The sequence below is a fragment of the Homo sapiens genome, chromosome 6 (genome assembly GCF_000001405.40).
Source record: "Homo sapiens chromosome 6, GRCh38.p14 Primary Assembly".
Taxonomy (NCBI): Eukaryota; Metazoa; Chordata; class Mammalia; order Primates; family Hominidae; genus Homo; species Homo sapiens.
The window spans coordinates 14366903-14390060 of NC_000006.12; the positions used below are offsets into that span (position 1 = coordinate 14366903).

At 42.4% G+C, this 23158-nt stretch overlaps 3 annotated features.

The window, feature by feature from the left end:
• Positions 13536 to 13830: a silencer, noted in NCBI's record as "tiled region #8710; K562 Repressive non-DNase unmatched - State 21:Repr". NCBI's record gives its function as "represses a minimal TATA promoter and a strong SV40 promoter by Sharpr-MPRA in K562 cells {active_cell/tissue: K562}" and the evidence as "EXISTENCE:reporter gene assay evidence [ECO:0000049][PMID:27701403]".
• Positions 14156 to 14697: an enhancer, noted in NCBI's record as "OCT4-NANOG-H3K27ac hESC enhancer chr6:14381289-14381830 (GRCh37/hg19 assembly coordinates)". NCBI's record gives its function as "activates a minimal SCP1, AML or CMV promoter by ChIP-STARR-seq in naive H9 embryonic stem cells {active_cell/tissue: H9 hESC(naive)}" and the evidence as "EXISTENCE:reporter gene assay evidence [ECO:0000049][PMID:30033119]".
• Positions 14698 to 15241: an enhancer, noted in NCBI's record as "OCT4-NANOG-H3K27ac hESC enhancer chr6:14381831-14382374 (GRCh37/hg19 assembly coordinates)". NCBI's record gives its function as "activates a minimal SCP1, AML or CMV promoter by ChIP-STARR-seq in naive H9 embryonic stem cells {active_cell/tissue: H9 hESC(naive)}" and the evidence as "EXISTENCE:reporter gene assay evidence [ECO:0000049][PMID:30033119]".

The following is a 23158-nucleotide window of genomic DNA, read 5'->3' on the forward strand; positions in this document are numbered from 1 at the left end:
TCTCTTTTTCTGCTTATCTGCCTCTGGCTTAAACTAAGACTTTAGAGGGCAACAGGGAAAATAATCTTAAATTGTCTGCATTGCTGAAAGGTGGTGATTTCATCTTTTGGCGTGGGATTGGGTCAACTTGCACTTTGCTCAAGCCATTTGTTCAGGACAAGAAGTTCCTGCACCAGAAATAGCGAAGTGTAATCAGCAGAATGGATTAGATCCTGAGGAAGCCGTTATCATGGAGTGTCAGTGAGTAAAATTAACATGTATTTTTAATAAGTTTATAATTACTTATCCTACAATAGACCATATGACCTATTCACTTTTCGTGGACTCAAACACTTAAGCCCTCAAATGCCATTTAGTTTGAAACACACACACACACATACCCACACCCTCTTCCCTCAAAGAAAACAAAGGAATTGTGTTTTGAGCTCTAAAATAGTTTCTTAAGGAGGAGAAATTTGTATTGCTATCAAAGGCAGGAATTTTACACTTGTGTCTAGAAACACACAGTGACACATTTTTGCCCTACCTCGGGCCTTTCCTTTTAACTTGTTGGCTCAATTATCTGAGCTGAGGGGAGCATAGTTGTGCTGAGTTTTCAGCTTAAGTGTTGATTTCCTTGTTTTTGTGAATTTTTGCAGCAGACCTGGTATTGTTATTTAAATAATCATTGTACTTTTTTGTGTGTTAGAATTCCGTTAAATTGAGAAACAAAGGACCCTGTGCTGCTTTCAAGGGGAAAATGCCTCTATTTTCCCATTTCTAGGCTGTATTTCAGGAAGGTCTTTTGATGATATTCTTATGAACTTACTTTTAGAGACATGCATGCATTTTATGACTTCATTTGGGTCTTTAAAAACTGTCGATTAAGCAGTGCCCCTAAAAACAATTTTTTTTTCTTCACTAATAGGCTACAGGAAGTCTCATCTTGTTAGAGTTACCTTAGAGGGGTTCCACATAACATAAAATGACTATCTTTCAACACACTTTGAGGAATGGAATAATCTAAGCCAGGCTTAGGGGGACAAATCAGTCAATTCAAGATACCAGTGTATTTTTAAAATTTATTAATGGAATTTTTAAAAGTCAGCCTGGTCACTTGGAAAATTCTACCTTTTAAATAAGCAAAAGCTGTAGCTTTGATCCACAAGATGCAGATCACCCAGACTCGCAGCTTGCTCATCTCCATCTTCAACCTGCAAATTTAAGAGGAATTATCTGCAACTTGGAAAGGCCAGTTCTAGAAAAGCCACAGTGGGCAGGGCCTCCATTCACCTTTCCTAGCTTTTTAACCCAACGTTTTCTGCAATCAGTAAACGGAATTCAGACTTAGGCTTTCCTGTTATAAACTCCTTCTTTCCACTGAATCACATAACTCCCAGGTAGGAAGGAAACTAACTCTATGTATACCAACTCCTGGGTGGTGAGCACCTGGGGCCCTGACTCTTGGGCTTTGTCTTTGTGTCCTCAGCACCTGGGCAAGTCCGGGACTCATTGTGTCTATTCCCCATGAGCAGCTAGAGCATCAAAGCTGTAATCTTACTTTAGTGGCCTCCCTCTTGGACCAACTTTCACTAACTGAGCCTCTAACTTGATGTGTGAGCTTTGAACGGGGGTCTGTTCACCCAGCACAGTAAAGCCAAACGTCCACACGAAGGTTTTGCAGTGGGAGAAAGGAGGGCATTTATTTGTGGGGCACGAAGGAAGAAGAATCGAGCAGCTCACAGTTAAGACTCAGCCATCCTGATGGCTGACAAGCAAGGCTTTTGAAAGGCAGGGCTACATTTCAGGGAAGCAGAAGCTACCAGTAAAATCATAAATCAACACATGGAGGTTATATGTTGGCTTGAACTAAAAAGGTAAGATATCTGGAAGTGAGGATTTACAGGTCAAAGGTGGTTTCAAAGTTCTCTGATTTGTGATTGATTAAGGAAGTGAAAGTGTCTAAAACCTTGGGGTCAGCAGAAAGGAATATTAAGGTCTGGCCTGTGGACCCTCAGGAAGAAATTTAGTACAAAGAACAGCAGTCCGAGTTCAGTCATCGGTTCCTGTTGGTCTGAGGTCTATGTACCAGTGGATACATTTGGTGGGTGTCTAAGTTTCTGAAAGGCAAATCAGGAATGTATGTTAAGATGTTACGTTTAGTTTCTATATGGAACAAACATCTTGTGACTCTTTCTTGGTTACTGTTTTAAGCTATCATTACCTTCTTGCTTATCAGGTTGTCATTTCCTTCTTAGGGCTAGCTAGGTGCCTAGAATCTGCCTTGAAGGAACTCAAGGTTTTCCTTTATTTCCATGCTTGAGGGGGCCTGGAGGCCCCTAAGTGGGGTCCCTGCTCCATCTCAGCCTCCCTTTGTACCCAGGGAGAGAGGTTTCAATGTACCACTCAGAGAGCTGGACACAGCTTCTGTAACTGGGAGGTAATGAAGCATCTGTGACAGATTCCCCCTAGCACAGCTTTAGTGACCAGTGGTGCCCAGAGAGAGGGTTGTGTCATTACACTCCCCCAAAGGCAGGTCAACATTGCATGACTCCTAGGGACCAGCCCATTTTGGCAATATTGGCGTTGGGCTGTTTTAGAAGACATCCTGAAAGCATTGAAGAGGTGAGAAGAGAGAATACATGAAAGTGCCCACAAGACAAAGTCAACTTGAAGCATTTATAAGGTCTGGAGGCTGTGGTGTCATCTTATGGCAGCATCAGTCAATTAAGAACCTTACTGTCCCCTCTAGTGGAGGAAAAATCATTTTCTTTCTATCCTCCATGGTTCTTAGCTGCGACTCCCAGTAACAAAAGATAGGTTAACAAGAGGACAAACAGAAGTTTAATAACATCTATACCTCTTGTATAGATGGGAGAAAGCCCAGAAAAAAATGAGTAAATCTCTAGAGTAGATCTCAAAGAGTTATCTTAGACTTCAGGCTTAAATGCCATCATTCTCTGAAACAAGGAAAAAGGGGTGTGGGGACACAGGTTGAAGTGGCTGTGACTGGCACCTTAAACGAAGGGAAGGTTTGTTATGCAAATTCAAGTTGATGCCTTCTCCGTAGATTAAGGGTTTCATTTAGGCCTCCTTCTCTTTCTGGTGCAGAGAGGGAGACACGCTGATAATAGAGATTTCCTGTAGAGGTGTAAATGTTTCTCATAAAGGGGTTACTTCTTGGAGCTTCTCCTTGGTCTGCAGTTTCTCAAAATGACAGCTCAGAATAGTCTTTATATCAAAGAGGCATATTTTGGGGTGGCATGCCCTGAACCCTATCCCCTCCTTTCCATCCCTTTCTACCCAACCATTTTACCCGTCAGGTTAGAAAGTAGCTGGTGAGGCCAGACGCGGTGGCTCACGCCTGTAATCCCAGCACTTTGGAAGGCCGAGGTGCATGGATTACTTGAGTACTTGAGGTCAGGAGTTTGAGACCAGCCTGGCCAACATAATGAAACCCCGTCTCTACTAAAAATGCAAATATTAGTTGGGAGTGGTGACACACGCCTGTAGTCCCAGCTACTTGGGAAGCTGAGGCAGGAGAATCGCTTGAACCTGGGAGGCAGAGGTTGCAGTGAGCTGAGATGACGCCACTGCACTCCAGCTGGTGGATGGAGTAGAAGATTGTTGGGGCTCAAAAACTAACTCCAAAATAATGGTGCTTTGACATATTGAACTGAAGAAGGCTCAGTTTCCCTCTCCCACTGTTTCTTCCAAAGAAGTTGAAGTTCCTTTATCCGCCTAAGATCCATGCTCACCAAGGAGAACAATTGTTTTTCTCTTCTGCTTCCAAGGCCAAAAATATAACCATACCAGAGCAAGACTTTCACTGTCAGAGAGCTATTTACAAGTTAATCTCTTATTCCTCTCTTATCCCATTCCTTCTCCCTAGTAATCTTTTATTACCCCTCAGCAGAATCCTTCTTCTCTCCCTCCCATAGCCTGCTTTGTCAGGATGGTATATTAGCTTCTGAACCTCAGTGTGGGGTTGGGTCTTCATTCTGAAGCCTCCTGTATATACACATTAAATAAATTTGGATGCTTTTTCTCATATTAATCAATCTACCTCATGTTAGTGATTTTCAGCAAACCTCCAGGGCCCTCACAAGATTAGCCAGGAAAGCAAAAAAGCCAACCATATCCTCTTCCCCAAAGAAAGGCAGTGTGACTGGTGAAAATAGGGACACTGTACCTTCCTGAGTATTGAAGTTTTGCTTGATGTACTGGGCTGGACATCATTCATTTCTAAATTAATTGAGACATGACTGAGACTTCAAAGAACTGTTTGACTTTTCTATTGCTAAGACTGAACAGAAAGTTGTGGGGAATGTCCTATATTTTATTCCCAGACAAGGGAAAGATTCCCTGGCAGACAGTGTAAAAGAGAACGTGGGTGTCAAAAATATGATGCCCCATGAGGCCTGGATGATGGATGGGCTGGTTACAGTCTCTATTTTCCACTCAATAGAAACTCTTGGGCTGCCAGCAGATATTTGCAGATTCATTTAACAAATACCTGTAGTTGTTGACATACTTGGCACTTGACAGCACTAGAGAGCAACACTCAACAAACCTCATGCTTTACCCTCAAGGAGCTGATGGTCCACTGGGAAATGAAGACAAGTAAGGAGAAAATGAAAGTGACTTTTCAACGTGATAGGTATTGCTAAGGGTGCTGAGATGCACCTGATCTTGTCTCAGAGGCATTCCATGGGAAGTTAGGCTTAATTTGAGACCTGAGGGACCAGTAGGTATTGACTGGACAAAAAGAGGAAGAAGAAGAAGAAGGAAGCAGAGGAAAGAGAAGTGTTTTTCAGACAGAGTCAACAGCAGGGGGATAAAAGCTGCAGAGAGATGAACAGCGAGAAATTGGAAAGTGGAATTGAGAGTGAGAATCACAAGAAATTATAATTGAGAAATAGGGTTGCATCTTGAAGAGCTTTATAAACCACATTCAGTTTGCATTTTAATCTTAGGACAGTGTTGATTTTTAGCAAGGGAAGAATCATATTTGTGCTTCCGAACAATTTTCTCTAAAGTAAGGTAATAAGAAGAAACTATTAGATCCTTTAACTACATTGTTTAAAATGTAACCTTTAAAATTTTCTAATAGATTTATTACCCATAAACTTAATATAGTCGCAGGAGTACGTGCACATAATTTATAAATATACACGTATTTGGGAGTGCAGGGGTGATTGCTTTAGAAAAGTCACTCTGGCTGCAGGCTATGGCAGCATGGAACATGGATTGGAGGACAGCGAGGGCAGAGGCAAGGAGGCTGGTTAGGAGGCTGTTGCACTGACCCATATAGAAATGATAGAGTCAGGAACCAGCATAATGGCATTAAGTGTAGAAAGAAGTGGCTAAATTGAAGCAAGATGTTAATGTCACTCCATGTTTGCAAATAAGACTATTCCATTAGAGATCTCCAGCATCCACAGGCCAGTTAATGAGTCAGGAGAAAAAAGAGCACTGGCTGTCAAAAAATCCAGCCTTCAAGTCCTGCTTTCTTCACTTATTATGAGATTTGGGCAAATCATTTACTTGCTGAGGTTTGGTTTCCTCAATCATAAAAATGGGGCTCTCAATACAAGACCCTACCTGCCACCTGGGTCAAGTGCTGAGCAACTGAAGTAACAAAAAAGGGATGACTTTGAAAATTGTAAAGGATTAGGAAAATGATAAATATTTTTCCAACAAGGACTATATTTTTGTGTATAAGTTGTCACCAAAAACAGGATTTGACTTCATTTTTAATTAAAATGAAGAAGCTAACTATTCTTATGCTTAGCAAAAGACAGCATCTTTTCTTATTAATGTTGAAAACAGTAATAAATGGGTCAAATGGTTATGGCTTTTCCTCCTTGGGAAGCTTTGAGACTCAGTTTCCTTATGTGTCAATGGAAAATAATGGCATCTGTCCTATCTATCTCTTCACTGAACCCCTCAGAAGGGGGACATTAGTACTCACTGAGGTGGCGGTCAGGAACTTTGCTTTCCCCACAACTTCCTTATGTGACCTTGAACAAGTCACGTGACAACCTCTAGCCATGATTTCCTTATCTATAAAGTGTGAGTAAGGTGATTTCCAAGGTGATTTCCAAGCACCTTCCAGATATTGAATATCATTATCTACGAGATGTGAACGATGAGATGAAATATGAAGCATGCTTTGTTACAGTTGTGATTTTATTTGCCTGGTTGAAAAAGAAAGGAGGGGAAGCTTTAGGGGAAATAAAAAGTTTACCACTAGAATTATCTGCACATTAACCAAGTCATGGAAAATGGAAGAAGCTGTGAAGATTTTCTCAATATTGAGAGCCACCAGACAATCGCTGACAATAAAATTGTGAATTCAGCAATTCCATGCTGTGTTTTAATTTTCTGGCACTGGCGTGCCCATTATTTAAGCATGCATTTGGATTGGTGCCAGCCTGCCCTCATCACCACGGCTCAGAAGGGATGCTGAGAAGCCTCCCCCAGCTCACACCAGCAGGTCTGGGGCTCCTGCAAACCCTATTCCTCTGGAAGTTCAGGAAAAGGAGGTAGGACAGCAGACTTTATATAGGACAAAGGGAAACTGGGAGATAATTGGAGAAAAAATGAGGAAGAGAGTGGGAGAGGACAACTGGAGGAAATATTGGAACAGAATGAAGGGAAAAAGGGAGAGAAGGTCCTGAATGTAAATGTTTCATGGCCAACATGAAAAGGGGAAATTAGGCACCAGAATAAGGTAGGAGAAGAAAATAAAAGATGGGAATCTACAGTGACTCTATGTCCCAGATCTCTTTCTAGTCTCTGGTCAGGGGCATGGTGGGTGGACCACCTCCAGCTGCAGTGCCTTCAAGATCTGCTACAGCATTTGAACTGAGGCCATGCTCTTCCCCCAGATCTTCCTGGGTAGCCCCCAGGCAATGGCTGAGCATGGTGAGTGCTTCATGGCCTGGCCAATATTTACCTGATGTGGGACTCTGCTCCAGAGTTCCTCATTAGACTGGTTGACAGTCTCTCAGAGCTGCCCTGTAGGTGAAGATTTTTCCTACCCTACCTTCCTCCCTTTCCCCCTTATGATCGTTAGTTTTCATGGTAACCTGGCTAGGTGACAATGCACAGTCATATAATGAAACACTAATCTAAGTGTATCTATAAATGTGTTTATAGATGTGGTTAGCATTTATGGTCAGTTTGTTAGCAGTGGCGAATCTGTATGGGGCCGGAGCAACCTCAATTCTTGCCTCCTCAGAAGAAAGAATTGGACGGAGGGGCATAAAGGCAGAGTGAGAGACCGACATAAGTTTTAGAGCAGCAGTGAAAGTTTATTAAAAAGTATCAGAGCAGGAATGAAAGGGAGTAAAGTACACTTGAAAGAGGGCCAAGTGGGTGACTCGAGAGATCAAGTCCACTGTTTGACCTTTGACATGGGGTCTTCTACACTGGCAGGCTTCCAGGGGGTTGCATCCCTTCTCCTCTGATTCTTCCCTTGGGGTGGGCTGTCTGCATGCACAGTGGCCTGCCAGCCCTTGGGAGGGGCCGCATGCACAGTGTGTTTATTGAAGTTGCGTGCATGCTTGCTTGAGGTGTTTTTCCCCTAGCAGTTGAGTGTTCTTCGAAGAAAATAATATACCAGGTAAACCCCACCATTTTGCCTCTTAGGGTGCATGCTTGAGCCCACTTGCCCAACTCCTGAGATCTTATGGGGAAGCTGCTGATCACCAGCTTCAGGTATTTTCTTTCTATTGGGAGACTACTTTTCCCTGATGCTGAGTGTGACCAATTACCATTTCAGAGAATCAGTTTAACAACTGCCTGACCATCATCTGATGGTTGCCCAATGTCCCTGGTGGGATCACCGGAGCTCTCCTACCCTGCTCACGTCTGCCTGACAACCTACTGTAAAAACTTGACTTAAAGTAAAGGAGATGACCCTTAATAATGTGGGTGGACCTCATCTAGTCAGTTGAAAACCTTAAGAGCAAAACTGAGGGTTGCCAAAGAAGAAGAAAATCTGCTTTGAGATTGTAGCATTGACTCTTACCTGAGTTTCCAGCCTGCCTGTCCTGCAAGTTTCAGACTTGCCACCCCTCCACAATTGCATGAGCTAATTCCGTAAAATAAACAAACCATCTCTAATTAGTTCTGTTTCTCTGGAGAACGCTCACTAATCCATATCTTTTTTTTTTTTTTGGTGGGGGGGGTGGTCAGAGTTTCACTCTTGTTGCCCAGGTTATAGTGCATTGGTGCCATTTCGGCTCACCGCAACCTCCACCTCCTGGATTCAAGTGATTCTTCTGCCTCAGCCTCCCAAGAAGCTGGAATTACAGGCACCTGCCACCACGCCTGGCTAATTTTGTATTTTTAGTAGAGACGGTGTTTCTCCATGTTGGTCAGGCTGGTCTCGAACTCCTGACCTCAGGTGGTCCGCCTGCCTCAGCCTCCCAAAGTGCTGGAATTACAGGCATGAGCCACCGCGGTGGCCCATCCCTCTTCTTTCATAGACATCAGATCTGCATGATAGTCTGAAGGCTTTCCCTGATCACCCCTGCTCCCTCTTACTTTTATCCTTCATGATGTTACCTTCAATAAATCTCTTCACCTTCTAACTCCATCTTGCCCTCTGCTTGAAAGGAGCCAACCACACCGTGGCATGGCTTCATTTACACTTTTCAGACTATGTGTTCATTTTTACCTTAGAATATCTGAGCATGATTGATAACACCTTGGGAACTTATAACTCTTGAGTGGTAGGAAAAGAAGCTGAAGAAATATGGTGTAAAAACAGAAATGAAAGGGAGGTCGAAGGCTAGGAGAAATATGGGGTCACAGCTAGGAGAAGTATAAAGGAAATTGCCTTTCTGGAAATGTCAGATTTGAATGTTTTGTTTAATAGATCACCTACCAAGGGCTTTTTGCAAACAGTGGCATGGGAATATACCAGGCAGGAAAGCGAAGGAACAGACAAGCACACACTGATGTTTGCCTCATTTTTGCTTTTTGCTCATTGGAGAATCCATCACAAATGTGTATTTCCCCTTTGCCAATTGCCATCTCTTCAATTACCTTACTTAAGAACACACACAAAAACAGTATTCCTTGCATCTGCTCCAATTTTCTCCCAAACTTTTATAGCTTCCTCTGCCTGACTTTTTAACAAAATGAAACTACATTGTAGAAACTTCTGCTATTTCACTGCAGATTTTTTCCTTGGTTGCTTTACTTGTGGTTTATAGAGAGAATGACTGGGAACCATCTGAGGTGAGATGTGTGATACAATGATAATGTGACAACGTCACCCACCCAGTTCACTGCACATGGCTGAGAATGAAATGTGAGTGCCAATTAAAGTGGCCATACCTGTATCCTTGCAGGACATTACCTGACAGCCTCTGAAGTTGGATTTTCCTTTCCAAGCCTGTGTTGACTTTCCTTAAATCTGCAGAGCACCCATTCATTCTTTCTTTCATCTATTTATTTAGCATTTCTTTAGTTAACTGAAGTCCTAGTAGGTGCTGGGGAGTGTGCTGGATGCTGACGAAGTAATGGAATGTTAAACAACATCCCTGCCCTCAGAAGGCTTCACGGTCTATTTTTCAAGTAAATCCTTACCGGGCTGACTGTGTTTCTGGATCACACAGCTTTAAACTTTAATGAGGGTATAGCTTAAGTAAGCTTTGAGACCTTCTCCTGATGTGGCAGCCACGACTAGCAAGCACATCAAGGATGTCTGTTGCTCCACACAGCCAGGGAAGGGACCACAGGCCTTGCTGGCGCTGAGGTCTTTATTGTTGAAAGCCAATTGGCATCTGCCAGTCAAGTTCAGCTCTTATTTGACCCCATTAATTCAGTGCACCAGCCAAACCAGCAAGCACAACTGAGCAGCCAATCTCTCCTCAAATGGAAGTCACTTGAGATGAAGCAGGCAGCGTTGCTGCCCAATTCCAATCAATACAACTTCTGTGATAACTCAGTCACCAATGTTCTGTTTCCAGGGCATCAGAATTCCTTACGCAAATGACTTTGCATTAGCCTGGTGTATTGGTCAAAGTTGTCAGGAAAAAAGAACTGATCAATATGTGTGTGTGTGTGTGTGTGTGTGTGTGTGTGTGTGTGTGTGTGTGAGAGAGAGAGAGAGAGAGAGAGAGAGAAGAGGTTTATCTTAAGAAATTGGCTCCCATGACTATGGGAACCGGCAAGTCTGAAATCTACAGGACAGCCAGGCAGTCGGGAAATTCCAGCAGGAATTGATATGTTAGTCTTGAGTCCCAAAGTCCAAAGGCAGTCTGGAGGCAGAATTCCTTCCTCTTCAGCGTGCCCCAGTCTTTCCTATCAAGACCTTCAACTGATTGGATGAAGGCTACCCAGGTTATGAGGTGAAGAGTGCTGACATATGTCATCCCAGAATATGCCTCTTTGGCATATGGATTATTTTGGGCTAAAGGCCACTGAGAATCAGCAGACACAGAAAAAAACTCTAAAAACAGGTCACACGTTTTCCTTTTGTAAAGGAAATTTCCTTTTGTGAAAGGCATCCCCTTCTGTACCAGGAAGAGGAAGACTCTTAACAATGGTCATTAATGGTGAAGGCACTGATTTAAATCTGCGTAACAAGCCTTAATAAACAACACTTGCTCATCATACTGTTCCTGGTCACCTTCCCATAACTATCCCCTTTCCCCTGAAGCCCTAACCCCCTTTTCCTTTGTTTTTGCCTAAGATGGTATACAAGCCCAGGCTCTAACCACCCCTTTGAGTTCCTCATCCCTGAGTGCTTCCGTGTGTATGTGCGATGCACAGGTTAATAAACATCTGTTTGTTTTCCCCTTGCTAATCTGTCTTTTGTCAGTCTTATAGAGCCTCAGCTGGAGAACCTAAGAAGGGTAGAGAACAAAGATTTTTTTCTGTCTCCTGGAGTAGATAACCTGCTTTACTCAAAGTGTCTGATTTGAAGTTAATCACGTCTGAAAAAATATCTTCACAGCAGCATCTAGACAAGTGTTTGCCAAACAACTAGGCACCATAGCCTAGACAAGATGACACATAAAATTAACCGCTGTCTCTCATGAACTCCAGTTTTAGTGTTTTACCAAATGGTGGTGGAAGGTATCACTTCACATTAAAATTAAGAAAGACAGAAAAATCTAAGCATTTTTGGTATGGTTTTAATTATTTTCAAAGAATTACACAAGGAATACATGATTATAGCCAAAAATTTATGCTACATTGATTAAAAAAACAATTTAATTATAATACCACAATTCTAAAGTAATTGCTGTTATTTTTTTTACATGCAATATTCCCATTATTTTCTTACAATGGGGTCCTACATAGGGGAGAAAAAAGCTCTTCCTTCACCCATGTTAAGCTCTTCAGATGAGGCCCTATAAGTTAGACTGGCAAAAGACAGACTAGCAAGAGAAAAACAAACAGACTTATTAACATGCATATTATGCTTACGTATGGGAGCACCCAAAGATGAGTAAACCAAAGGCATGGTTAGAGGGCTTATATACTGTCTTAGGCTAAAACAAGGAAAAGGGAGGGAGAGACCTAGGAAATGTATGGTAAACAAGGATTGTTTATTGAAGTTTGTTATGCAGAATTAAGTCAGTGCCTTCTCCATTAATGAGAGTTGTTAAAAGTCCTCCTCTTTCTGGTACGGGTAAGGGAGACATCCTTTACAATTTTAAAAGGAAAACTTTTGACCTGTTTCTAGAGTTTTTCCTGTGTCTGCTGATTCTCAATGGCCTCTAGCTTAAAATAATCCATATGCCAAAGAGGCATATTTTGGGGTGGCATATCTGGCACCACCCTTCACCTACTCTACCTAATATTGTAGAACTTGCTTTTTGTACTTGATCACACACTGGGTGAATTATTTCAAGATAATATATATTCTTCTACTACAACAGCATTCTTAATTGTCATCATATATTCTATTGTGTAAATATACCATCATTTACCTAACAAATCCTTTATGACTAGACATTTAAAACATTCCAAATTTATCCCCATTATACACAAGTCTACAATAAATGTCTTTGGTCATTTGTCTAAATAGTCTTTGTTCATTCATCTATTTATTTCTCTCTGATAAACTCCAGAAAGGGGATTACTAGGTCAACAAGTGTGCACATTTTCAAGAAGCTTTTGATACATCTTGACAAGCTGCTCTTTAGGAAAATACACCAATTAATACAAGTACTATTGTTTTAATAGCATGTGTTTATCAGCTTATGTTACTTCCATATAATAATAAATACCTCTGAATCCTCTATTTTCAGAATTAAGCTTGCAAGAAAAATTCTTCACAAAAATACAAGTCTGAAGTACTAAGAAAAAGAAAAACTGTTTTAATCCTACCCTTTGGCTTTTAAGAAAATTCTCATTTTAGCATTTTTTAAAAATTAAATATATTTCCCTCCATTGATGCACCATTCTACTATAAATTTGATACTGCATTATCTAAGAGTAAGGTGATTTAAGAGACAGATGACTTAAGAATACATGTATGTGTATAAAAAAAGTAATGATGCTTAGTATTTGAGGATTGGCAGGCTGGGTGAAATGAAGGCTAGGTGAGGATAACCAGATTTTCCAGTTCCAGAATTCATAAATTGAATACTTTTATAGTAGGAATATACTCTCCACAATCACCCATACTGTGACCTTCCATCAAATCAGATCAGAGAAACCCTAGAGCCAGTCTTAATGCAAGTTAATAGACAGTAGGCTGATGCCCCCCTGAGTAGACATGGACCACAGGACTCTGAGTAGTTTGCTTAAATATATTCTTCAAGTGAAACAAAGAAGGACATGGGAAAGCCCACTAATAGGGCGTTATCTAGGAAAAGTAGGGTAAACAAGAGCAAGGTTGTTATGCAAATTTATGTGGGTGCCTTCTCCATTGATGAGTCGATTTAGTCATTCTTCCCTTCCTGGTACAGAGAGGGATGGAGATTACAAATGGAGATTTCCTTTATAGATGCAAATTTCCTCTGCAAAAGGGTAACTTATACTCCATTTTCAGTCCTGTGTCTGCAGCTTCTCGAAATAATCAGCTCAAAATAATCCTTATGCTAAAAAGGCATATTTTGGGGTGGCATATTCTGGTCTCCTACACTAGATATACTCATCAGCACCAAACGTCCTAGACACCACCAGCAGACATAAACACACACTCACATGGCTAACTGGAAGAATCACCTTGACTTTGTCATGAAAGTCACAAAAGCAATTTTGTTAATGACTCAAGACCTTCGATCAATTACAGTCAGAGGTTCAATAAATGTTTGTTGCATTGAATTGCTCAATGTTAATTGTCTGTCTCATCCTCAGGTGTTCACATGAGGGGCACTTTGCAAGCATAAAGGGGATTGACAAAGTGACATTTTTATTCATGTGCACCTAACAAGACGGAAACCAGAGGAAGCAGAATGAGAAGTGTGGTTAGGCACCAACTTTCTTCATGTTTATCAGGGGCCGAAGAGGTGGATGGGAAAGAAAGGATCGATGCATCAGAGCACAGGATTAATGCAACGTATTAAGTGCAACCCTGTAATCTAAGTGCAGCCCTATCTGCCTCTCCAGTAACAGCAACCACACACATTTCCTAGGAGCCAGGAACAGTAACAGCACACAAAAATTCCAACCAGGATTAAACTGGAGGTGAAGTCACTGCTGCCCCATGATGCCTCACTTCTGAGCTGTCACTGCACACCTCTTTACTGACTCCAACATGCCAATTAAAAAGCCTGGCTTGCAGCGGGACAATAGGCTAGAACGTGGGTTTCATTCTTTTCCATCTGAACAAAAGCAATGTCTTTGCTCCTCGAGCTCCAGGGACTGTGAGGCAGGGGAGCCCTTTTGAATGGTCCCTGCCACCACACACTTCCCAACTATCGACACCGGCTAGATAGGTAACAAAAGGGGAGTCAAAGGTAATGAATCAGAATTTGCAGAGTTTAGCTGCTATGGGTGTGGGAGGGCCCCCAGAGAACGGCCAACGGACCCGATCCATTTGTATCACTTGTTAACCAAAATTGTCAGTGACTTTGGAACAATTATTGCCTTCCTGAAACCAAAACCTGCACAGCACAATAACTCTTGAGCCTCCCTTCTCTGCATTAATAATCATGTTCATGGTGCTTTACTTAGCAGGTTACAATGTTGGCTTACTCTCAGGCTCTCTGCAGTGAACAAATTAAAGAGGCTTGCTCTGTTCCATGAAAATACTCCAGCTCAGCCTATTCATTTTCCTAAATGCTTCTCCACTTCAAATTGGCATTCCAGCCATGTGGCATATATTTTTTAAAAGCCATCGCATGGGTCAATAATGTTAAACCCTTACCCATGACAATAATTTACTCTCATCGACTGTGTACATACACAGAGAAGAAATACACACATAGTGTGTGTGCTCATACTCTGATCCCTTTGGTGTCTCTCAGCATTGTGGACTCTCTCTTCCTATTGTGTTTCAGTCTTTTTTTTAACTGGCGGTCTCTTTCTCCTGCAAAGAGAGATTACAAATACAATCCTAGAATTGTAAATAGAACGGTGGCTGCCTTTTGTTCGGCTTCCTGTCCAAGTTGTTACAACCTTTGTCATGGTAATGAGCCATCAGAATTTCATAGCCTGAATACCCTCTCCACTCTTCCAGTTTATTGTGTGCCTAAATTTGGATGAGTTTATGGTCTCCGTCAGTGCTGCCCGTGGATAAAGACAGCTGGAAAAGTTGACCCGCTTTAAGACGACCAAAGGTTCTTCATGGAAGTAAAAGGTTTACTGGCAACACAGGAAATCCTGAGAGCACTGTCTGGAAATTTGGACGGGGTAATATTCACCTGCCAAGGTTTTCCATCAGGTCTTGAGAAAGGTCGGTGGGTTTTCTACCCTACTTAACTTTTCCCCAGTTGTGACAGAGTAGCTTTTCTCTTTCATTCAAGGGATGTGTGTTGAAAATCTGTTCTGTACTAGGCAGTGGATGCACTGAGGAGAAAAAATAGGGCAGGCCAGGAACACCGAGGCACAGCTGAATACATATTTATGCCAGTGCAAAGAAACAGAAAACTGGGTTCATCTTCATACTGAACTTCATATGACTCAGATCAAATTTCCTCAGTGAGAGCCCATTTACAATAGCCATTATGCTGATGAACATGCCACCGGCTTCCCCAGTGAATACCCAATGAATACCCATTTCTGAACTTGCTCGATAAGAACACGGCTGAAGGTAGATTCCTACAAGGTAAATTCCTATTACTGTCACTTAGGTTGTGGCTTTAGGTAACTGATATGTACGTGACATCACATTATCTACGCTACAGTACTTTAAAGCAAATGACAGATGTTGTAACAGTTTACAAGATGACCCATCTATATTTGATTACTGACAGGCATGAATAATTTACTTCAATATTTCATTAAAATTGTGCCCTGTTAATTAGATGGAGGGTTTTTTGTGACAAAGCACAAACTGCTGGGGTGGGTGGTCTGTGAGGTTGTAGAACATAAAAGGGCTTTTTATTCCCCCAGCAGATGGGGCCCCGCAAGGATAAAAGAGACTTGAGAGCCACTTAAATTGGCCTCAGGACCCTCAGTGTTGAAGCTAAGTGCTGGCTGTGGTTAAATTTATGTAAAGCGCCTAGCACAGTGCCCGGCACCCAGCAGCTGCCGAGAGCTATTAGGATTTTTTTTCCCCAAGTGTTGGGTGTGTGTGGTTAGAAACTTAGTGCCATTTCCAAGCAGGTGTGACTTTCAGTTAAGTGACTTCCTGAGTTTGTATGAGAAATCATTGGTGAAACCCAGAATAGAACTCAGAGTCTTTGCATTCGATTTCCAATCCCATCCCTCTTCTCACTGGGTTGCCTGCCCTCCTTCTGCATGGGCACCTTTGCCAAGAGAGAATGAGATTCTCAAAGCAACTAAAGTCCTCTGGTAGTTTTCAAATGGCCAGTTCTGTCCTCCTCTCAAAATATACTTTGCTCTTGTATTTCCAGTTTCAAAGTAGCAAAATGCAAAGTCCTGTCTTCCTTCCTTCCTTCCTTCCTTCCTTCCTTCCTTCCTTCCTCTTCTTCCTTTCCTTTTTCCTTCCTTCCTTCCTCCTTCCTTCCTTCCTTCCTTCCTTCCTTCCTTCCTTCCTTCCTCCTTCCTTCCTTCTCTCCCTCCTTACATCCCTCTACAAGTATCAGGCCGTGGGGAGCGGGAAAGGAAAGAAAGAAAAGGAAAAAAGACTGTCAAGTGTTTTTTATCATGCAGATGTATGTTGGGGGCATAGAAGTGGCAGGGATTGGAGACTATAGCAGAAGGAGCCCAGGCTCATCTGCTGCTAAAAATAATAAAATTCTAACTTCAGAAAATGTTGAAATATGGCTGGCGTGGCATTGTTTTTGTTGCCTTAGGAAGATACCCTCACTTGACCAGACGATTAAGAAACCTGAAAACTGCGTGTTACTGAACCAAACTTTGGGTCACCCACTCAGTGAACAGAAAAAGCCAAAAGCCAAAAACGAACACCACTGGTATTTGCAGTGAAAGAGAGGCATGTATTTCAGGGTGCCAAGCAAGGAGAACTGGGCAGCTAACACTTAGGACTCAAACTCCCAGACGGATGACAAGCAAGGGTTTTTACAATTGCAACTTCTGCTTTCCTGAAATGTACTTTGAAATGGACATTTAAAGGCATTAAATGTATAGTTGCAGTCGTAACCAAGACAAGGAAGGCATGCAGCCAATACAAGGAATTGTAAACCAAAACAAGGAAGTTACCCATTGGTTTGGCCCTTCGTAGGGGGACATCTTGAAGCAGAGGCTTACAGGTCAGAGGTGGATTCAGAGATTCTTTGATTTGCAATTGGTTAAGGAAGCAAAGCTTTGTCTAAAAACTTGGGGTTAGCAGAAAGCTATGTTTAGTTTTGGCCTGAGGGTGTGACTTTCTCCAGGCACCTCAGGAGGAAATTTAGAACAAAGAACATCAGTTAGAGTTCAGTCCTCAGTGCCCCCTTATCTGAGGTCTATGTGACGGTGGTCAACATTGTCTATCTGGTGGGGCTCCTGTTTCTGAAAAATAGCTCAAGGATACGTCAAGATAATATCTTTTAGTTTCTATAGGGAAGCAAACATCTTGTGACTCTGGCTTACTTGGTGGCTATTGTTTAAGTTACTATTATCTTCCTGCTTAGCAGGTTATTCATTTACTTCCTTAATTGCTGGTTGTAGGGTTAGCTAGGTGCCTGGAATTTCCCTTGAAGGGACTCAAAATTTTCCCTTTGTTTTTTGCTAGGTGGGGAGGTGTAGCTTGGAAGGCTCCTGAGAGGGGTTCCTGCTGTTTCATACACTTTCTCTGACCAGGCTTTCCTGAACTGGGGATAAATAGCGCATCTGCAAACACAGTGATGCCACCAGGTCAAGGTCAACACTGATATCTCAATGGCTACTAGGCCCATGTCTAACAATTCCTCATGCTTTACCCTGGCCCGTAAGCTAAAAATGTTAGGCAAAACATTGCCCATTCTCCTGCCTGTCCTCTTCCTTCTCTGGTCTGCTCCCCTCTCTGTGGAGAGGAAACTCCTGATTTGCTGAGAAGTTTCTCAAAAGCTACAGTGCAAATCACCCTAATTGTTTGCTAGATGAACAATGATCACTCTAACCTCCTAATTAACATTGTTAAAATCTGCTAACAAAGGACATTTAACAATATCTTAATTAGGAAGGATTTCCAATTTGTGATATGGAGCATGTTAGACAAACAGAGCACAATTCTCCCTTTGTTCCTGGGCTCGGTAGCCAGAGAGATTACAAGATATGACACAACATGTTCTGCGTTTGCCATTTATCATTCTATATCCTTTACACATTTGCACTACATAATTAGTATCTTGGCTAATTTTACCTGTGTTATTGTTTGCACTGTAATTTGGAGAGAATAGAGTGGGTGATACGGGTGATTTAGATTGGGGCAGGCATCTGGTTCTCCAGTTCTCCCTCCCACTGACTGCGGCTCCCAAATGCCTGCTGGAAAATACCCCAGCTAGCAGAGAAAGCAAACTTCTTGGGGTCTCCAGTTGCAGATAATGGGGTATAAAATGAATAGCCTTTTGGGTCATTCCAAATAAATATGCAGATGACTAACCCCCATTCCTTTTCCAAGCTCTTACAGCTTATTTTAAAAGCTCCTATTATCTATCACTTAATTATTAAAAAGTGTCTACTCTGTTTTCATAAATTATCTATGTGTTGGAGATATTGGCATATGAGAGAGTCGTGGGGAAAAGGGAGGTTCCAAAGCCAATTATCCCAGCGGAGAAGGTTTTAGAATATAATGGGATCCCTGAATTATTTTATACCAGACCTTTAAGGATGTGTGTGTGTTTGGTTAGGGTGAATGGGAGGAGGTGGTAGGGGACAGGAAGGGTTAGGATTTGTAATAATCCCTAAGTCATTATTCTCATCTATTTTTTGAGGACATTCTTATTGTTGGGCCATTTTCTATGTGTCTTAATTTCTTTATGCTGAAGACAGAATAAATCTTTGAAAGAAATTAACATTGTATGTTATTTGGAATTGCCATTTAAATAAACTACATTATCTAAACTAAATGAGAAAACGTAAGAAAAATACATTATAGCAAGCCTGGTACATAGTTAATACTAAATCAATTGTAGCTATAATAAACTGTGTTATAGAGCTATATAGAATATATGATGACAGATGCATTACACTGTCAATGGTGCTATATATAATACATAGTATATTGCATATGTAAGGATGGGAGAGGCTTTCCCTCTACCCTCCTAGGTTTGACAGCTAGGCCTAGGAAATAAATTGACGACAGACAGATTAACAGGAAGACAGGTATACACAGAAACATCACAGGAAAAAAGCGACTACCTAAAAAGACAGTGAGATTTGGGAGTTTATATGCCATCCTCATAGGGGAAGGTGTGTAGAGTGGTGGTGTGGGTGACGTTGGGGAGAGGAAATGATTTTTAGGAAGATGCATGGGCCCTTAGAAGAATAAATGGGATGTGGTCCCAGCTACTCGGGAGGCTGAGGCAGGAGAATGACGTGAACCCGGGAGGCGGAGCTTGCAGTGAGCGGAGATCACACCACTGCACTTCCAGCCTGGGCGACAGAGCAAGACTCCGTCTCAAAAAAAAAAAAAGAAGAAGAAGAAATGGGAGATATGATAGTCGGTGACAAAGTTCATCTGGGGGTATATCCTCCCCCTTTTCGTGCTGCTAAAAAACTACCACAGGTAGGGTAATTTATAGAGAACAGAAATTTATTTCTGACAGCTGTGGACGCTGAAGAGTCTAAGTTCAAGGGCTGGCATCTGGTGTTTGGAGAGAGCCTTCTTGCTGCCTCCTCACATGGCAGAAGAGGGAAAGGCAAGAGAGTCAAACTCCTTCCATCCAGACTTTTTATAAGGGCACTAATTCACCAGGGAGGAGCCCTCATGGCCCACTCACCTCCCAAAGGCCCCACACTCTTCATACCATTGCATTGGCAACACCTGGATTTTGGCCTGGACACATTCAAACCACAGTGGGGCAATGTGGACTTCTAATCTCCTCTCCTGTGATAAGAGTTAATCTTCCTTGTTGATGGAACTCACCAGGATGGTGGTGGGGAACAATTGAGTTCCTTTTGGAGGTTCTGTCTTTAGGCCGATAAGGGAAGTACAGAGAAAGTGTTTCCTTGGATTTGCTGTTTTCAAGCGCCTTCAGCTTAAAATAATCAATGTACCAAAGCAGTCTATTCTGGGGTGGCATGTCTTGTACACCTTCACATTTAATATGTAATCTAATAAGATGCTCAGAGACAATTTCTAGTCTCTGGTCTGAGCTGCTACGTGGTTTCTTCCCTGAAGACATCGGAGAGTAAGACAAAAAGGGGCAACTTCCTCCTTTCAACTTGCTGGGCACAACCACCAAGAACTGTAAAGTGAGATAGAAACCAGAAGAAAACGAAGCAAAAACCACTTTTCAATTGGAAACTGTGGTCTGACTATATCAAAAAGCTGACAATCTTGAATGGACATCTATCCCTTCTCTCCTCTCCACCCCTCAAAACGCCAGGGCATGTCAGTGTGGTCCCCTTACCCTGGAAAGGGTGGGCTGCACTGATAAGGAGGCCACAGAGGGGTTCCTGGTGGACATAAAGAAGCATGGTGAATAGGCCTTTTTCTTTCACAACTTCTCACATCTGCTAAATGAAAGAAAATTATTCAGAGACTTGTTAAAGGCAGTAAGGAAGACTTTATTCAATGTTAGGAATAACGCTTAAAATTCTAAGGAAATTGAACACTTGAACAAAGGATTTTTAGTAAAGCAATTTTATTTTTGCGCAGAGGGGTGCCTCCTTGGCCAGTTGTCATGAGAGCACACCTGAACAAAGAGGCACAAGAGCCTTTATTTTTGATACAATTCTTGCCCCTGTACCCTTTCCCCATTGGCCGGGGTCGGGTCATACAATCTAAACTAATTTCGGTTGGCTAAACATTTGATATTTTCTAGATAGGGTGGGCACGTAAAAGAAAGTGGAGGGGAAGGGGAAGGGGAAGGGGTGTCTGTAATGAGCCAGAAAGTTAGTTGTTTTTTTTTTAATAAGGAAAGGAATGTGAGCTGGTACTGATAATGCTTGATACTGTGGCATGCCTGGGCATTTAACAAAGGCAAGAAGGAAAAAAGGAGAAAAATGTAGGGGGGGATTATGAATTAAAGAATAAAAGATTGATCAGATTATTTGAAGAGAAACCTCATCATATCCCACATTCAAGAAGGGAACTACTGTAAAGGGGTCTTGCAGTATGGGAGAGAGACTGGGCTCAACTCTGAAAAATGGGGATTTATTTATAGCCAAGGAGCATAGGAGTGGGATGGGGAGTGGATGGAAAACATGAAGAAGAGACATCCAAGGTAGGGGGAGTTTTGCTAAACTGACCTAATAGGATTCTTGCTGAAGACAGGCCAAGGTGATCAGATATCACTGGGGGATAATGGAAGATGAGGAATTTGGTCAGCTATAGAGGGTGATCTGACATTGAGAGTGAAGAATTCTCTCTAAACTGACAAGAGTTTTGCTTTTGCTAAAACTGGGTGATGCAAGCCCAACGAGGACAGATATTGAATGTCAAGGTCTAGAGGGCTTAGAGAAGCCTGACTAAAGTTTGGTTAAGATCAGAGTCTTTGGCCGAGCACAGTGGTTTACGCCTGTAATCCCAGCACTTTTGGAGGCCGAGGCAGGTGGATCATGAGGTCAGGAGATCGAGACCATCCTGGCTAACACGGTGAAACCCTGTCTCTACTAAAAATACAAAAAATTAGCAGGGCGAGGTGGTGGGCGCCTGTAGTCCCAGCTACTCGGGAGGCTGAGGCAGGAGAATGGCATGAACCTGTGAGGCGGAGCTCGCAGTGAGCCAAGGTCGCGACACTGCACTCCAGCCTTGGTGACAGTGAGACTCTGTCTGAGAAAAAAAAAAAGATCAGAGTCTTTGTCACATCATTCCCTCCCCTCTATCTCTGTTACCTCTGAAGACAAACATGCAAATACCAAGTTGACCTAATGTAATACTATTGGGCCATATGTAGGTAATCTTAACATTTTAGAGTTGGAAGAGGACTTTGAAACCACTCACTGCCTTATCTGACAAATTAAGAAACGGGGGTGGGGGTTCCTAGAGGCAAGGTGACTGCGAGATGGAGCAGGGACCCCTCTTAGAGGCCTCCAGAGAAATAAAGGAAAAATCTTGAGTTTTTTTCAAGGAAAATTCCAGGCACCTACCTAGCCTTGAGAAGTTAATGAACATCCTAATAAGCAAGAAGATAGTAATAATTTAAGCAATAGTGTCTCAAGCAAGTTAGAGTCACAAGGTGATTTGTGACTCTAATGATCATATCTTAGCATATGTTATTGAGTCGCTTTTCAGATACCCAGACCCCCATCAGGTGGAAAATGCCAACTGCTGTCACATAGAGCTCAGATAATGGGGCAGTGAGGACTGACCAGTGTTTGTTGTTCTAAATTTCTTCCTGACGGGCTTCAAGAGAGTCGCACCCTCAGGCCAAACCCTTAATTAACATTGCTTCCTACCGACCCTAAGTTTTTAGACGAAGCCTTGCTCCCTTCACCAATTGCAAATCAAAGAATCTCTGAATCCACGTATGACCTATAAGCCCTGTCTTCAAGATATCCTGCCTTTTTGGGCCAAACCAATGTTTAACCTCTACGTATTGATTTACTATTTTGCCTGTAACTTCTGCTTTCCTGAAATGTACCCCTGCCCTTGAAAACTCTTGCTTGTAAACCACTGGGGAGTTTGGATCTTAAGTGTGAGCTGCCCAATCTTCCTTGCTTGGAACTCTGCAATAAATGCCTCAGTTTCTTTTGCTGCAAACTTCAGTGTCAGTGTTTGGCTTTTTTTTTTTTTCATGTTGGGTAAGTGGACCCAAGTTCAGTTCAGTAACAACTGCCTAAGATCCTGTAACTGCCTGATGGGTTCATTTTACCCGCTGCCCAGATTAAGCTTATTTATCAGGACTGGGGAATTCTAATAGAGAAAGAGTTTAAGACAGGTAGAGCTGGCTAACTGGGAGACTGGAGTTTTATTATTACTCAAATCAACCTCCCTGAAAATTCAGAGGCTAGGGTTTTGTTTGTTTTGTTTTGGTTTGGTTTTTTTGGGATGGAATTTCACTCCTGTTGCCCAGGCTGGAGTGCAGTGGCACGATCTTGGCTCACTGCAACCTCCGCCTCCCGGGTTCAAGCGATTCTCCTGCCTCAGACTCCCAAATAGTTGGGATTACAGGCGCCTGCCACCACACACAGCTAATTTTTGTATTTTTAGTAGAGATGGTGTTTCACCATGTTGGCAAGCCTGGTCTCGAACTCCCAACTTCAGGTGATCCACCTGCCTTGGCCTCCCAAAGTGCTGGGATTACAGCCATGAGCCACAGCACCCAGCCAAGGCTAGTGTTTTTTAAAGATAGTTTGGCAGGCAGGGGGCGAGGGAATGGGGAGTGCTGATTGGTTGGGTCAGAGATGAAATCACAGAGGGTCAAAGCAGGTTCTTCCTGCTATCTTCTGTTCCTGGATAGGATCGCAGAACAGGTTGACCCAGATTACTGGTCTGGGTGGTGCCAGCTGGTCCATCAGAATGCAGGGTCTGAAAAATATCTTG